At 45.6% G+C, this 17314-nt stretch overlaps 1 protein-coding gene and 1 non-coding gene across 8 annotated transcripts in view, besides 4 other annotated features; both read left to right on the forward strand.

Moving 5' to 3' along the window:
- The window catches only part of ZDHHC14 (zDHHC palmitoyltransferase 14), a 296968-nt gene that overhangs the window by 147730 nt on the left and 131924 nt on the right, over positions 1-17314 (forward strand). For all 7 annotated transcript variants that reach the window (NM_024630.3, XM_047419366.1, NM_153746.2 and 4 more), the window contains exon 2: positions 13666-13826. In NM_024630.3, the coding sequence (NP_078906.2) occupies positions 13666-13826 (161 nt within the window). The remainder of the gene's footprint in view (positions 1-13665; positions 13827-17314) is intronic.
- MIR3692 (microRNA 3692) lies at positions 213-281 on the forward strand. Its single transcript, NR_037463.1, has one exon. It is a non-coding gene; the product is annotated as a microRNA 3692 (primary transcript).
- Positions 1830-2735: an enhancer, noted in NCBI's record as "H3K27ac-H3K4me1 hESC enhancer chr6:157951781-157952686 (GRCh37/hg19 assembly coordinates)". NCBI's record gives its function as "activates a minimal SCP1, AML or CMV promoter by ChIP-STARR-seq in naive H9 embryonic stem cells {active_cell/tissue: H9 hESC(naive)}" and the evidence as "EXISTENCE:reporter gene assay evidence [ECO:0000049][PMID:30033119]".
- Positions 2736-3640: an enhancer, noted in NCBI's record as "H3K27ac-H3K4me1 hESC enhancer chr6:157952687-157953591 (GRCh37/hg19 assembly coordinates)". NCBI's record gives its function as "activates a minimal SCP1, AML or CMV promoter by ChIP-STARR-seq in naive and primed H9 embryonic stem cells {active_cell/tissue: H9 hESC(naive and primed)}" and the evidence as "EXISTENCE:reporter gene assay evidence [ECO:0000049][PMID:30033119]".
- Positions 4207-4707: an enhancer, noted in NCBI's record as "H3K4me1 hESC enhancer chr6:157954158-157954658 (GRCh37/hg19 assembly coordinates)". NCBI's record gives its function as "activates a minimal SCP1, AML or CMV promoter by ChIP-STARR-seq in primed H9 embryonic stem cells {active_cell/tissue: H9 hESC(primed)}" and the evidence as "EXISTENCE:reporter gene assay evidence [ECO:0000049][PMID:30033119]".
- Positions 4708-5208: an enhancer, noted in NCBI's record as "H3K4me1 hESC enhancer chr6:157954659-157955159 (GRCh37/hg19 assembly coordinates)". NCBI's record gives its function as "activates a minimal SCP1, AML or CMV promoter by ChIP-STARR-seq in primed H9 embryonic stem cells {active_cell/tissue: H9 hESC(primed)}" and the evidence as "EXISTENCE:reporter gene assay evidence [ECO:0000049][PMID:30033119]".

Consider the following 17314-nt stretch of genomic DNA (forward strand, 5'->3'; position numbering starts at 1 on the left):
ATTAATTAATTATAAAAGCATAATTAGATGAAGACTGGGGGTGGGAGTGGGCATTAATTCCTCAACAGCACATGGTATTTTTCAGGTTTCTCCCAATGAGTTCAAAGAGTTTCATTGAAAGTATATCCTTGTAGTTGCTAGTGTCTAGGAGACACACTCAGACTTCCAGTTTTACTCAGCACCTACCACCTGTACTCTTCTGAGGTTCTTTGCCATTCCTGCTGGTCAGGAGTGGATACTGGAGCAATAGATACAGTTCCACACTGACACTGCAGAAGTGGAGATCTCTGGAGTCTCTGCAACCCCACCCTCTCTTCACAGGGAGCAAGTTACTTCTTGAGTATAACCTGGGAATTTTAGAAAGTTTATCTTTTTTCATAAATGAAAGTTTATGTTTTAGCATTGTACTGGTCAGAATCCTCCAGTATTTAAGCAAAACTAACCAGTACGGTCTTTGTTTAGTATACATGTATTTTGCAATAACAGGAGCAGTCATCACCATTTAGTGTCAAGCTTGATTGACAGGGCCCCTGGGAATCTGTGGTTTCTGTTGTGTAGAAACCACAGAGCTTGTTATTCTTCAACTGGAATTGGGAAGCGGAGCCCAAGAGAAATGTTCTTGACCTTCAGTCACTAAGGCGTTACTACCAGACTGCTGGCAATCCATCAATGAGCGACTTTGTCACCCAAGACTCCGAGCTTGTCTTCTCCCCAGACTGGACAAGGCACCTTCACGCAGAATAGTTTCAGGTTTCACTGTGTTCTTAATTACATTTAATGAGGATCATTGAGATCCTTATAAAAAGGTGAAAACAGGTACAGCTGTTATTGTATTCCACTAAGAAAATGTGTAGAGTGCAAAACAGAAGTGTAGGCCTCATTGTGGTACAATTGAGAGACCATGCCTTGGGCCCATGGGCTTTGATGGCGGCCACATCTGATTGACTTCTGGTTATGAAACTTATTAGCTAAACCAGGCTCAAAGTAATGAACCTCTTATAAGTCTTATCAGTCAAATTAATGAACCTTAGTTTCCTCATCTGTGAGATGGTCTCAGTAATACCAATGTCATAGACAATTAGCTGTGTACATTTCTGTAGACATTATATGAAATGTTATATGTGAAACTGCCTGCAATATAGGTACTCAATCAAAAAAATGTGAATTTTCATTTGCTCCCTGCAGTCTTACTATCTGGCTGCCTGTTACTTTGAAAACCATGTGTATGAAACAGTAACAGGCTACCTAAAAAGAAAAAAAGAAAAAAGAAAATGATGTGGGACCACATCTGTGTGTCTAGCAGGCATGGACCTTCCCTCTGGATCTGTTTGTTCTGACCTTGTCTTCTAATTGAGCTGGATAATTACATGGTAGGAACTCTCCCCAACATCAGGGCCGAGAAATGCTGTCACCATGTTTTAATGCAAAGGCACTTTGCCAAGGATAATAGTCGATACCACGGGCATTGTTTTAGGTGAGATAAAGGAATCATCTGTGAATGAATGCTGTGTCCCTTTAGAGAAGGAAAAAATGAATCGGCAGCCCCAACAGCAACCCAATATCCAAAGACTTTCAGTGAATTTCATTTTGTTCATTTTTCTACCAAATATGCACTTTTGAAGCTGTCTTTGCCTGATAGTCTCCAACTTGGTGTCACAGGGCTCGTGGGCTTTAAGCTGTTAACCTTGTTTTATTTCTCCCCTTTTTGGAAATAGAACCATTTTCTCCTGAAATACCTTTGTAGCCTTTTTTCTTTTCTACTCAAAAGCACCTTATTTCCATTTTGCATAATTATTATGTACTATTTTTCAAATTATGATGTCTCTGCTATTGGAAACAACATTGTTTAGTGAGTTTGTGGGTGAAATAGCTTAGCCTTCTGCACTCACATGTGTCTCTGTCTGAACGACTGGATATTTCTAACCTGTATTGGTCCTATATTATCTAATTCCTTGAGGTTTATGATGACGGATATGTTAAAAAAAAAATCTTCAATTCCTCTTTATTCTTAGGGAAACATTGTAAAGCAAAATTTACTTAGAAATTCTTCCTACTTTGCAAAAGAAAGAAGGTGGCCCTTTTTCTCCCCCAGGAGAGAGATCGTTAGCTCAGAGGAGCGCTGTCAGCAGAGGCTGGAGCACACGGAAGTGGGGTCTGCTCAGGTCCCTCTCGGTGTTCATTGCTTCACCTGCATGACGACCTTTGCACCCATCGCTTTGCAGTTCGCCACCAAACGTGGACCCAGATGTCCCGGGTCTGCTCTGATGATTCCACAACATTCAATTCAGCAAATATTTGTCGAGTGCCTATCATGTAGCAGTGTGTGAGGCACTGGGGATGCCACAGTGACTAAACAGCCTACAACGCCCCTGCCCCCCCCGGACATGCCGTTCCAGAGTCCAGTCCAGGGAGGATTACACTGTGCTTCCGCCAGTCACTCGGTGCACCGTCCGAAGGAGGCCTGGAAACATTAGGGTCAGGGAGGGTCTGGGGCTCCCTGTCCTTGCCAACACCCTTCCTCTCTGCAGGTCTCACTCCTGCCTCTGACACCCCCTCCAGAAAGGCTTCACCAACACCCCCCGCTCCGGCCCACTGAGTTGGTTCCCTCCACCGTTCCTCAACACCTGTGTCTCCACACTTGCTCTTTTGTTTGTAGTGTGCTGATTTGCCCCACCCCCCAACCCCCACACTGGAATGTGAGCTGCCAGGAAGCGAGGGTCTTGTCTTGATCTTCCTGCTTTCCTAGCACATGGTGCAGCTTGCTGGCAGGTAGTGTGTATTCAGTGGCTGTGTGCCGAGTGCCTGAATGAAGGCGTGAAGGAGACTCAGTCATCTCCTGCATCCACGGTACTCGTAGACTTGTTCTCCAGCTCTGGAAAAACTTTCCAAGACTCAAATGTGCCTTTTCCCCAAAGGCCTTGAGTTACTGCATCTTCGTAACGCCGAAGACACTTTTCCGTAGCGGTAACATCTGGACTTTGTGCAGTGTGACTGTCCCAGAGGGCCTGGCCTCGTTCTGCGGGATGGGCGTGGGGGTGCCAGCTCCCTGGCAGAGGCCCCAGTCCTGGGTAAAGCTGTGCTCACTGCCTGCCCACCCTGGGTGAGCAATTGAAGCCCTAGTGTGGGGCCCCTGGCCATGGAAGCACTGGGGAAGGAGCCGCTGGGGGAGGAGGAGCAGGCACAGCAGGCGTCTCCTGGTGGCACCAGCAGCCACACCCCTGGGCCACCTCCCAGCAGGCAGCCTGATGGCCCCAGGGCCTTGGGATGGGAGGAGAGCCTCAGTGGTGTTCAGTGTGCAATCTGAAACAAGGCAGGGCATTTTCCTTCCAACAAGGTTTTCTTGAACATGTAATGATTAAACTAATTCATATTTTGTTGAAAATGTCTCTGTTGAGCAATTCATTGCCAAACAGTGCTCACTGATGAGCTATCCAGCGTTTGGGTTCAATTCCATGAACATTGCCGGTGTTGAGGAGATTTAATTTGTATAGCATTTGATTCTTTCTCATTCCTGAACGCCTCCTTTCCCATCTTGCCATCCCTAGACCACCCGCAACCCAAGGAAAGAAAAAGGGAATCTAGCAGGCCTCTGAGATTCCGGATCTCCAGGGGGCTTGCTGGAACTGAGGGGAGTTGGGCCCTATATGTGTGGCCTTGTCCTGTACTTTAAATAAATACCCAGTTTAAGACAGAAATCTGCAAGGATGACAGAAGAACTTTCTCTAGTCACATTCCTCCAAGAAGTTGGGTACAGACCAGAGCTGAGATAGGAGATAACCTGGGTTTTGCCTTCTCAAATGTATGATCCTCCATACCCCAAAACAATTAGACTAATTAAGGTATTGTAAGACAACTTGCAAAAATCAAGAGCTTCAGCCCGCTGAGGTTTCAATCCAACAGAGAATATACATTATCGTCAAGCATCTTCTTTATGGATAGTTGAGTTTTTAAAAGCACAGGCAGATTTTAATATTTCGGCAATTATCTTCTTTTTTAGTTCAACAAGTACTTATGCATTTATTTTTAATAACATATTTCTCTACTACAAAAATAAGCCATGCTTTAATTAAGAAAATTTGGAAACCACCAAAACGCACATATGCAGAAAATCACCCAGGGATAATGAGATAATGGGGCACATTCTTCTAGTTACAAATATAGATGTGTTTGAAACACAAATAGGATTGTCTCCGCTGTACTTTGTATCCTGTGTTTTTTTAGATGTCTCTTCATTTCATCTAACAAATAGTTATTGTAAGGTCAACTATGTGCTAGACTGAATTCTAGGCACTGGAGGTTACATCAGTGAACCAAGCAGATACACGTCCTCATTGCATTGAGCTTTTTTCTAGTGGGGTCAGACAGTAAGCAAGGAAGTATATATATTAACAGTGTGCCAAGTGGGGATAAGTGCTATGGGAAGAGTAAAAGCTGGAAGGGGTTGGGGTTGGTGGAGACGGGATGGCTGGTCATAGGAGGGCTGCAGTTTGGAGATTGTGTGCAGCACAGTCAGGGAAGGCTCTACAGAGATGGTGATATTTGAGCAAAGGCTGGGAGGAGCTCTATGGCTCCCTGTAGGGAGGGAGTTCCAGGCAGGGGGAAGGCACAGGCAAAAGCCCAGAGGAGAGGCAGGCCTGGCTTGTTCCAGAGCTGCAGGGGTCGGCAGGAGGGAGGAAGATGAGGTCAAAGAGGTCACAGGAGCCAGATGGCTTTGTAGCCTCGGCAAGTACCTGGCTTTAGTTCTGAGCAGAGGAGGGACGTGCTCTGGCTTGAGCTGGTGCATTGGGCACGGAGTGCAGCCTAGGGGGAAGCAGAAGAGCCGGGCCATGCTTTGATGGGCTCAGGAGGCTGCAACGTGGAAAGCCCTCAAGCAGACACCTCTGCCTCAGGCTCTAAATGTGGAGATGTTTTAGGAATACTGTGGCCAATTTAGTTCACTTGCATTTTTTAAAATGTATGCACAATAATGATATATGATTTTTAAATTGGTGTCTAATTAAGTCTATAATAACTCTTTCAATAAGTATGAAATAAAGATCCCTTGTGGTTAGGGAATATTATCTGATTTGGCACATTTCCCCTTAATGATACATCTTAAAATGTGGGGTACCTTAGATTGGATGAAACAAGAATTATGAATAGAGCTATGACTTTCCTATACAGAGTTTCCAGAAGGGAGGCAGAATGGACACCCTTCAAATATAAGCCAGGGTCAGAGGCAGCTAAACCTTAGAATGCTGTTTAGTGCCAGGACAAATCCCAAATCACTACCCTGGACGCTTGGTATGTGCAGGTCTTCCCAGCACACACACCAGCAGCTCTAGGAAGAGCTTTCTCGGAAGGGCCCTGGCTTGCCCTGACGATGCCTTACGGTTCCAGGATGCACAGAAAGCAAAATGGAGTTACTTTGGCCAATTAGCTCAGCAGCCACACATGGTCTGAAAATGACAAAACATTCACCTGAACCAGGACTCGAATGGGAAATCTGGGGCATGTGGTTGCCATGCCTAAGTAATGTCTGGACATTAAAGAGCAACTTTTGGGGCAAAACAGTGTTGGCTTTCCCTCCCATGATTCACATGCTACCCAGAAGCCTCTGGCTTCCTGGAATTCTATTTCATTTCATTTCATTTCATTTCATTTCATTTCATTTCATTTCATTTCATTTCATTTCATTTCATGTTTTTGAGACAGGGTCTGGCTCTGTTGCCCAGGCTGGAGTGCGGTGGCATGATCTTGGCTCACTGCAGCCTCAGCCTCCCAGGGTCAAGCCAGCCTCCCACCTCAGCCTCCCAAGTGGTTGGGACTACAGTCACACACTACCACAGCCAGCTGGTTTTTGTATTTTTTTTGTAGAGACGGGGTTTCGCCATGTTGCCCAGGCTGGTCTCAAACTCCTGAGCTCAAGCAATCTGCCCACCTCAGCCTCCCAAAGTGTTGGGATTATAGGCACTCCCGGCCTCTTCCTGGAATTTTAAATGCAACTCAGAATCACTTGGCAAAAATGTTGATGCACCACAATATTCACTAGTAAGCTCTTGTACATTCTCAATAGTAGATGAGTAAATTGGGCTGTTTACACACTATGATTTGAAGCCTGTATTATAAAGCTACAGATTCCCAGGTCCTGTATCTTAAGTAGACCTCTCTGGGTGGTCTGGGAGGCCCTGAGTTAAGAGTAAGGACACTAACTCTGTCTTGCATGCTTGGAGGGTGTTTGGGCCCCACGGGCAGAAGAGAGCACTCTCCTTGTCTCCCCTCCTCCGCTCTCTGTTCACGCAAGTGCTTGAAGCCTGGAGCCCCTCTCCTCACTCATGAACTCTGCAGGTTCAAGGCAAGACTGTGCTGTGTTTGGAGACATCCCTGTTTAACTCTGCATCTAGCCAGAAGTCCTGTAGGGAAAAACCAGATTTCCTAAGTGACATTCCTCGACTCGGTAGGGTGACCTTCACCTTCCTCCTCCCTTAGCAAGCCTGAAAGCTACAGTTCTCACCCGACAAAGGTAGACAGAGAGACGCGTGTGAAAAAGAGCTGTTGAGCTTTGATGAAACTGAACATCAAGTTTGTAGTCTACAAATGGGTATGTGGAGTTCTACTGTCACCTCCATGCTCTCTGGGTTTGAGCTTTTCCTTCCAGCTTGCTTTGCTCATATTTTCCACGTTAGTCCCTGGGCTCATTGATTTAAATTCCCTCCCTTCATACAGGCATGCATAGACTCCTGGCTCTGTGCGTCTGGGGTAATTAACACGATTAGTCACTAATCGTGCTTTCCAGGCACGGGGTCCTGCCATCGTGATCTTGTAGGGGAATGTCACTCTTGGGAGTTTTATGAAATCATCTATTTGGTTTTTCCTATTCTGGAGTTGTGAGTGGATATGATTTCTGAATCTACTTTTTCCTCTATTTGTCTCCAAGTAATGCGCTCATCTTTGCCTTGTGGTGGTAGATTTATTTCTAAGTATGTGATTAAGGAACAAATCACAAAATGAATGGTGCTTATGTTCCTGCCTGTAAGTGAAAAGTACCTTTGTTTTGCAGTGACTCATTTGAAAAGGAAAAGGGGTCATTTCTATTGCAACCCTTAAAACCTCCATTTCTCACAATGCTACTCTGATTATTTCAGATGTGTGAGTCATTGGCTCAGGTTATTTCATTTATGATTGTTTGCCTTAGCTACTTATTATTGAAATGCTTTGCAATCGAGAATCTGAAACTTAAAATGCTAGGTTACTTTGTGATTTCTGCAAAGTAGCAACTCCCTGGATTGGAGTGTGGCAATAATGCAGCAAGGCCACTTCCTCTTCCTGTGTAATAATAAATGTATGCCTCGTGGTTATGTCTAAAAAACAGTTATTCTCATGTTTATGCTTTCATACGTACAGGACAGACCAAAAATATCAAATGTAGGCCATTTGCTGCAGTCAGGAGTCATGAGCTACTATTAACAAACTTTTTTTATGTGTATCCATTTATAGACAAAACATTAAAAGAGGACTCAAATTGTTTTGATACAGGAAAAGATTCTCTACTTCTTGTTCCAAAGGGCACTTGGTTTTAATGTCTCTGCTATATCTTGTTAATATTGTTCTTTTGTTTTGTTTAGTTTTTAAGTTAATCTTCTCCCAAAGAATGTCCTCTGGAAAACAGAGTGACCTAATTACCCAATAATGAAATCCATGTTTCTTATCCAAATGTTTAAGAAATTAATTTAGTCTTAGGGGTTTTGTTCAAGGAATCAGCATTATGTCAAATTCTAACCTGTAAGCCAGTCTCTAAACATGAATATAGAATTAATGACAGTATTGATTCTGGGATGTCAGTGTCTGTTTGATGCTAAAATGATTTTATATCTATCTATCTGTCTGCCTGTCTGTCTGTCTATCTATCCCTCCATCTATCTTTTTTTTTTTTTTTTTGAGACAGAGTCTCGCTCTGTCGCCCAGGCTGGAGTGCAGTGGCGGGATCTCGGCTCACTGCAAGCTCCGCCTCCCGGGTTCACGCCATTCTCCTGCCTCAGCCTCCCAAGTAGCTGGGACTACAGGCGCCCGCCACTACGCCCGGCTAATTTTTTGTATTTTTAGTAGAGACGGGGTTTCACCGTTTTAGCCGGGATGGTCTCGATCTCCTGACCTCGTGATCCGCCCGCCTCGGCCTCCCAAAGTGCTGGGATTACAGGCGTGAGCCACCGCGCCCGGCTCCATCTATCTTTTTAATGACCAATATCAAATATTTAGTTCTGAGCAGAGGAAGGATGCACTCTGATTGTGTGGTCTCAGATAATATAGCGCCCAGAAAACAGTTCCATTTTTCATGTATAAACATCAATGCACAAAAACAATTTTTACTAAAGATTCAAAGAGATTGCTATTTGAACTGAAAAAAATTCCATATAATCTTTTGGCAGTGCTACATTTCTAATTATTACCTGGAATGAATTTCTGTACCTCTAATGTACAATGCTTTGGCAGTTTGTGCATAGGTATTTATCATCATATCCAAAATCAAACAGCTCTTGCTGATGTATATGATTGGAGGGAGAGTTCTGTAAAGGCTTCTCATCATTTTAGTATCCGGTGCTAAATTAGCTAATTTCTTTTATGTTATGAAGATGTATTCTTATTTTTCCCCCTGTCACTTTCCAGTTAATCTTTATGAAGACTAAGATGCCTGTAGCCTGTTTGCTACACTGCCCTGAGTTGTATGTAGGTCACAATTCTTGAGACAGAAATAGGATTCCATTTGGTGTTTATATCTTTGGCAGCTGCCTCATCATCTTGTATCAGATCCAGGCCCTTGGGGATGGAGTCTTCCTCAACACAGATGGCACTCAGCATTGGAGTTCCCATCCACAGTTGCTCAGAAATATGGAGGAGCCATTTTCAAGTCATCTGAGCTCGGACTAAGAATTTGCCATACTGTGCACAGTGCTTCCTTCAGCTGTGAAGCCGTGCCAGTCTGTGGGTCAACTGGGATGTCCCATTAGTCTCACCTCCTTCAGGAGGTTAACATTCACAGTCATGGGCAGGGTCTGCTTATTGCCTTGTCTTTACCACAAGGACTACAGATGCTCTATGCTTTTTCTAAGCAGCATTTTGAAGGTGTCTCAGTAGCCCTGACCTCATTGTTTAGGGTTGGGAATTCTGCCACTTTTATAAAAAGTGAGTTGTTGAGGATTTCTAGGACAAACTCAGCACTGTCCTCTGTCACACACAGAGGCTGGTGGAACGGGACTGTCACAGAGCACCTAGCATTATACAGAGTTGTACCAACATATGGTGCTGCATCTACTAGAACTTTAGCACATGGAGGGTCTTAGAGGTTCCAGCAAATGCCCACAGAAGGTGAACATGAGGCACACTCGGCTCAGCGAGCTGAGGAATATCCTGTCCTCTCAGCTGAGGGAGCCTCGCAGAAGGAACTGGGCCTTAGCATCTGTCTGAAGGAAGTTACAGGACCTAGCGAGCTGACAAAAGTAGAGAAGTTCTAGACCAGGTCTGTGGTTGCTGAGGGTATGGGTGACTTGACTCTCCTCCTCTTTCAGGTGTTACAGTAAAATTCACTAAATGGATTCTATTCATTCAGCTACTCAACAAATATTTATCAAACTTAGTTGCATTTTACATCATGCGAGGCATCCTGCTAGGTGCTACAAAGGACACAAAGAGGAACAGGAGCCAGTCTCACCCTCCAGGACTTTTAATCTAGTGAGGTGCATGGAGCATGTCCACAAATAGCCACATGTCCAAGGAGAGGAGCAAAGAAAAACACGGTGGGGGTTCAGAGAAAGAAGCGATCCCTTCTGCTTAGGGGGTGAGCCCAGAAACTCTACCAAGGCTTTTCAGGAAGCGGTATTGAGCTGGAACTGGAAAGTTGGGAGCATCAACATGCTGAATGGGAGGTGCGGGTGTTCCAGACACGTGGGCTGGACAGGCAGCGCTGGCGGTGAGTGAAAGCGGGTGCCTGCCTGAGACGCCCAAATGTTAGGTGTGGCCATTGCTGGGATTCAGGAGGGGGCAGTGAGAGAGAGGGAGAGAAGGTGACTGTGGGGGACTTGGACACCAGATAAGGAGCTCGAGCTTCATTTGGTAGGAACGGCGGAAGCATGGAGGGCTTTTGAGCAGAGACACGTGTGATTGGAGCTGGCGGTGGTGGTTGGGACAGATTGAAGGAGGGGATCATGGTAGGCAGGTATGAGGTCACTGTTCTAGGCTGGGTGTGGTGGCTTATTCCTGTAATCCCAGCACTTTGGGAGGCTGAGGCAGGAGGATTACTCGAGCCCAGGAGTTTGAGACCAGCCTGGGCAACAAAGTGTTTCTACAAAACACACAAAAAATTAGCCAGGTGTGGTGGTGAGGACCTGTAGTTCCAGCCACTCAGGAGGCTGAGCTGGGAGAATCTCTTGAGCCCCAGGAGTTCAAAGCTGCAGTGAGCCATGATCATACCACTGCACTCCAGCCTGGGCAGCAGAGTGAGGCCCTGTCTCCAGAAAGATAATAAATAAATAAATAAACAAACAAACAGATCACTGTTCCAGCTGTCCCCCGGAGAGAAGACAAAGAGGGCTTCTGAGAGGAGGGACTGGAAGGCAAAACAGCGTGGAAGGAAGTCCCTGAGTGGGAGGAAGCTGGCCGTTTCTATTTAAGAAGAGGGAAAGAGGAAGACATTGCAAGTGGGCCATGCACCTAGGTTCCCCCGGGGCGTCCAAAGCACTCACCAATGCGAGTCTAGGTAGAGCCGGTTTAACCATCTCCTAGACCCAGAGCACATAGTCGCCTTGTAACAGAACTCTTCCTGTAGGCTCTTTCCTGCCTCCCTCTCTACTTCACCTGCTTTATTCTCCACCGTGGAGGGGCCAGAAACTGCAGCTGGCGAGCTGGGGTAGTGGAGGGGGCTTAACTTCACATCAAGGTAGAAGTTACCGTTATTCACTGGGATTATTACTCTTTCATTTGCTTAAATGGCACTGTTTGCTACTTAAAGCGACAAGGACTTCCTATTACCTTCATATTATCATCAGAGAAGTCACTAGACCTGCCTGAGATTTCCTGCGGGGACAGGAGCAGGAGCAGGTTCCCAGGGAAACACAGACAGAGGCATTTCGGATCCATACCCTGATTTGTCCAAGTGCAACAGCCCACTACGCAGTTAGAGAACCCGGCAGGCAGTAGGCCTCCCCGCGTCAACTGGACTTTGCCTTTTCCTCCTTTCTGGGATGGCTCTGAACAAATCAGTGTGTGCTCAAGTGCAAATACCAATCTACAGTGTATTATCCCTGCAGTGAGAGTGTGGCAGGGGACATCCTGGTTAGGGGGTGGAGGTGATGAGAGGCCGCAGAGGCATCAGCCTGGGGAAGTGGGGTGGCTGTGGAAGATCCCAACCCTGCAGAGAGTGCACTTGGGACAGGGAACGGTGGAGGGCAAAGCATGCTAGAACTTGCTGTAAGAGCAAGAGGCAGCCTTTGCAACTTTGAGCAGGTGGACTTTGCGGTCCACCAAGCTGCGTCTCAGACCCAAAAAGGAAAAAATAAGCACACCAAAGCCTAAGATCTACTAAGTCACCCTCACAGGAGGGTTCTGGCCATTCACAAGTAGCCATCCTTGGAGAAGCTCCATAGAGTTAAATCACAGCTGTCAACACCTGAGGTGGAACACTCTCTCCTAACCGGGTCTGTCTGGTTCACGTTGTCCAGCTGTGCCCTCGCTGAAACTGGCTTTGCTGTGCCAACATCATCTTCAAATTCATTAATCTTGAGAAGGGGGAAAAACGTGGGCTTGTTTTACTCACTGCCATTGTTCAAACTATGTCGAATTGTGAATTTAAGTTTTTTTGGAAAATTCTTTTCTACACAGTTGCTCTTTTCCCTAACCATTTTGTAACAAAAAATTCCCCCTAAAGTAGATTATTTTAGACTAAAATTATATGTATTCAGGGTTTATATATATAACATATATAGATATATATGTATGTATGTGTGTGTGTGTGTGTGTGTGTATATATATATATATATATATATAATTTCATACCAGGGTAATTTCATGCCTTCAATGTAGACTGTGTTTCTTTTTTTAACATTTTATTTGGAAATAATTTCAAACTTACAGAGAAGTTACAAGAATAAGAGTAGTACAAAGAACATCCATTCACCCTTTACCCAGATTCACCTCTTGCTAATACTTGATCCCATTTGCTCTGTTTAGACAATATTTTTTTGAGCTATTTGGGAGTAAGCTGCATTCATCATGGCACTTTATTCCTAAATACTTCGCTGTACATCTCCTCATGCTAGGAAACTTGCACAGCCACAGTCCACATTGTCAACATCAGCGATTGCTCCAGGAAGCTGTGTCTAGGTCTGCAGGCCTCTTGAAGGCTGGTGCACTAATGTTCTATCACTTGTCTCAGCAAAGGGGATCACGGCTTGTGGCTCTCAAGTCCCAGACTCGTGCCAGCATCCGTTTGCCATCCATCAGAGACCTGAACAGCAGTGGGGTGCTGGTTCCCAGGGCTTCCAAGACCAAGAGCCCTGTCTGCTTCCTAGTCTTGAGCAGAGCTGAGCTTCCCAATCCTTTCTTCTCCAGCTCCCCATCTCTGTTTTGTCTTGAGAACATAGAAGAGAATCTTCTGATGAGGTGGGCAATCTAGCATTGTTTTCCACGCCAGATGTCCTAATTCCGTGATTCTGCGTCATGTTCCCCAATGCCCATGATGTTATTTAATGTGGCGACAATGGACTGACTGTGGTCACTGCAGATCCCATCCTTCACTTAGGTCCAGGCATCTGACTGCATCAAGGGGCCACGGTAAGAACTGCTCCAGCTCTAGAATACCTGGATCTGAGACCAAATGTCAGACACTGGTTCCCAGGCTGGCTCGTGTAGAGTTTAGTCTGTCCCAGTGGCACTTCTCCCTGACTCATAACAATCCCTGCTTCACGTCAGCATGTCAGACTGACAGCAGTGAAAAGGTCGAGTTAAGAGTTGGGCCATGTTCATCCATTGATAGCTCAGATGCCCTCTGGAAAAGCATGAGATGATTCTATTCCAGCTGCTGAAATCCCTTAAATCTTCTTCCGAAACCTGCCTGCAAGTCCATTTCCATAGCTCATTCACTTTGGAATAGATTACCTCCAGAACATGGAAAATTGGTTTCTTGCCCTTTGAAAGTGTGTGTACAGTCCTCAGCGTTTGGTGCTGGCTGAAAGTTCCCGAGTCATTTGACCCAAGTGGGAAAGGCTGGCTCTCATGAAGATCATTCTAAATTGGTGTCTTCTTCTGTTATGTAATCCCAGGGGAGGGCAGGGGGATCTCATAGACTCCCGAACCGTGTTTACAGCACAGAGGACACGTGTCTATTTATACAAGCTCTGTGCGTCTTAGACTGATTATACAAGCAGGACTATTTTCATTCTTCTGCCAGCATCTTCCTGTAAGAGCAGAGGGCTTGGGCGTCATACTGGGGAGTGGGGGTTCAATTGTCTGTAAGACAGAACTGCAGACCTCCCCAAACGTAAATCTTTCACATAGATGAATTTTTAATGGAAATCAATTTCTCTCCTCCAAATAAGCTTTTGATTTCTTAGAAGATAAAGACTGCTTACTGTTGATTCCTAACATTGTATTTCCTTTCTTTTCCCCTTCTCTCCGGTCTGTCCAACCTGTCGGCAGCTGTCCGTACCTGGCGGTGAAAATCACCCCTGCCATCCCTGCAGTCGCTGGCATCCTGTTCTTCTTTGTGATGGGGACCCTGCTCCGCACCAGCTTCAGCGACCCCGGAGTCCTCCCACGAGCCACGCCTGATGAAGCCGCCGATCTGGAAAGGCAAATAGGTAACACTGAAAGTCTGCCCATGGCCTCTGGTCACTTCCCGCCTGGGCCCAGCTACAGTGGGGACGGCAGGCCGAGGGCTGTGCAGGAGGAGCTGAGCGCTGGGAAGGAAGGAGGCCAGAAGTCAGCGTTCCTTAGCTCGCTGGGTGGGCAGGATGAGCTGAAGAAGAGGTGGGATATAAGGCTGGAGGGACAGGTATCCTGGAGGCAGGACTGCAGGCCCACTCGAGCAAAGCATCAGTGTGAGCTGTGCTTCTGATGTTTCTTTGAAACCCAAGTGTTTGATTCCACTCTACTAAGCAGCCTCCACCCCGAGAGATTACAGTTGTAGGTTGCTGCCCTTTCTCCCTTTTGCAATCCTTGGAGCATGACCAGTTTCCATGATATAAATCTAGGAAAGTTACATCTTAGGCAGCTTTCTTGTTTATCCAGGCCAGGATTGAGAATTTCCTTTATTTAGGTATAATAAACATGTATCTGTGATATGTATTGAGATGAATAGCTTTATTTTTCCTTAGATATTAAAACCTATACTAAAGTTTATTACAACCCATTTTGAAGATATTAAAACAGATCCTAATCCCTTACACAACAAACTTTTACAGTTTTTTTTTTTTAATTAAAAGGAGTGCTTTTTCTTGCTCTTAAAAGTTTGTGATTGTGAATGTATAGCTTTGCTGTGGTGCTTTGGTAAATTTCACAAGCATGGCAGAGGAGCTGTGATGACTTGGTGTGAACATAATGTTTAGGCCTGAAAAATCACTTGGCAGAGATAATTCTCTTCCAGGATTCCTCCTATTCTATGGACTTTCCTTTGCAGCCTTCACTAAAGCTGGAGGGACCTCCCTGTCTACAGTGTAAGAAGATAGAGCTGTGGATCTTGCTGAAAAGTGCCTATTCTGGTCCTACCATTCCCCAAGTACTAAAGCACAGCTTTGTCCTTCTCTCGACATCTGCCTTCATCCTTCATCCCTGCTGCCTGGAAAGGGAGCAGTAAAATGGGAGTGTGTGGAGTGTGTGGTGTCATCTGCTAGACTGCAGCTGTCTTGTGTCCTGAGGTAGGAAGGAGGGGGAGGGAGAAGCAGCAGTGGGCAGACAATCTCTTTCTTAGCCCCTGCATCATGGGATTCCAAGACAGGGCATGCTAGTGCATAATTTTAAGGCTCACATTTTGTAGCACTTTAATCGTTTGTCAGGCCCATCCATGGCTATCACTGCATTTTTTTCCACATCTAAGCCACCTAGTAAGGAAAACTTTATTATTACACCCATTTTACAGATAAGGAAACAAAGCCCCCAAGAGGGGCTTAAATGGGTGAAAGTGGCAGAACTGGAGCCTAGAACCCAGGTTTCCAGATTTCAGACCTTGTTCTTTCCAGCTCCTCATATCATTGAGGAGAGAGAGGGAAGTCAAACCTAGTTTCCTTCAAAACTGTATGGTTTATGCCTACAATATATGAGCAGGTAACTTGAAAATCCTCTTCTCAGTGCAAGGGCCCAGCTCCCATACTGGGGGTGATGCAGTTTCCTGCAGTGATCCCCATCTCCAGGTTAGTGCAGGTGCATCTGCAAAATCAGCACGATTAGGAACAGACTTTCTGCCTTTCTTACAAAGTGGATGAGGCAGGGCACGGTGGCTCATGCCTGTAATCCCAGCACTTTGGGAGGTCAAGGTGGGAGGATCACCTGAGGTCAGGAGTTTGAGACCAGCCTGGCCAACCTGGTGAAACCCCATCTCTACTAAAAATAAAAAAAATTGGCAGGGTGTGGTGGTGCGAGCCTGTAGTCCTAGCTACTGGGGAGGCTGACGCAGGAGAATCGCTTGAACCCAGGAGGCGGAGGGTTGCAGTGAGCCAAGATGGTGCCACTGCACTCCAGCCTGGGCAACAGAGCAAAACTCTGTGTCAAACAACAACAACAACAACAACAACCAAAAAATAGAATAGTGAGATGCCACTTCACACCCTCTAGGATGGCACTAATCAAAAAGACTGACAATGACAAATGCTGGTGATGATTTGGAGAAACTGGAACCCTTGTACATTACTGGTGGGATTGTAAAATGGTACATCCACTTTGGAAAGCAGTTTCTCAGAATTCTCCAAAAGCTAAACACCATTACTATATGACCCAGCAACTCCACTCCTAGATATGTCCACACAAGGACTTGTATATGAATATTCATAGCTGCATGAAACCTAACAACCCAGATGTCCATCAGAGGATGAACTGATGATCCATATGTGGTATATCCATACAATTGGATTCCATGAAGCAATAAAAGGGAAGAAAAGTATTGATACAGGCTACAACATGGACATTAAAGACATTTGCTAAGGGAAAGAAGCCAGATACAAAAGACTATGTACTGTGTGATTCCATTTGTATAAAATGTCAAAGAAAGCACAAATCTTTACAGACAGAAAGGAGATTAGTGATTTCCTGGGGCTGGGAGGGTAGGAGTGCAGGTTAACTGCACATGACATGAGGGAGCTTGTTGGGATTATGAACATGGTCTAAAATTAAGTCGTGGTGATGGTTGCACAATGCAATAAATTCACTACAAGTCACTGAATTGCACACTTTCTATGGTGACTGCTGTGGTACATAAATTATACCTCTATGAAGATGTAAAAAAAAAAGGAGGAGGAGGCCGGGCGCAGTGGCTCACGCCTGTAATCCCAGCACTTTGGGAGGCCGAGGCAGGCAGATCACGAGGTCAGGAGATCGAGATCATCCTGGCTAACACAGTGAAACCCCGTCTCTACTAAAAATACAAAAAAAATTAGCCGGGTGTGGTGGCACACACTTGTAGTCCCAGCTACTCGGGAGGCTGAGGCAGGAGAATGGCATGAACCCGGGAGGCAGAGCTTGCAGCCGAGATCACGCCACTGCACACCAGCCTGGGCGACAGGGGAGACTCCCCCTAAAAAAAGAAAAAAAAAAGTAGAAGGAGGGTGGGAAGGGAGAGAGGAAAAAGATGGGGTGGAAGAAGCAGAAGGAAAAGAGGAAGGAGAGGGCTTTGGAGGGCCTCAGACATGGGTTTGAATCCTGGCTCACCCTTTCTCTAGTTGCGTGACTTAGGTGAGCGGTGCAGTTTTCTAAACTCTATCCCTCTGTGTTCTTATCTGTGAAATAGGAGTAATGGCATGGATCTTTTGAGGTTCTTTTCAGGATTAGCAATTATAGGAAAAGTGCCTGGCACATTGTAGATGTGTAGTAAATGATCGTTTTTTGTTTTGTCTAATTCTTCTCTTTTCCCACTCAGTTTTCTCTCCACCTTCTACAAATGTACGTTCTCATAAAAAGCTACCTAAGCGTGACAGGAATAAATGGCAGAGCTGGTACAATGTCTTTGGGACCGCTGCCTGCCAGCTTAGCTGTACCTCCTCCAGGCTGAGGAAGGGGTGCAGGCACCTGCAAGCTGGGCTCATTTCCATCACTGATCTAACCCTTCATAAGGAGTCCTCCCGTATACTACTTGGCTTTG

This window comes from Homo sapiens, chromosome 6, assembly GCF_000001405.40.
Source record: "Homo sapiens chromosome 6, GRCh38.p14 Primary Assembly".
Lineage (NCBI taxonomy): Eukaryota > Metazoa > Chordata > Mammalia > Primates > Hominidae > Homo > Homo sapiens.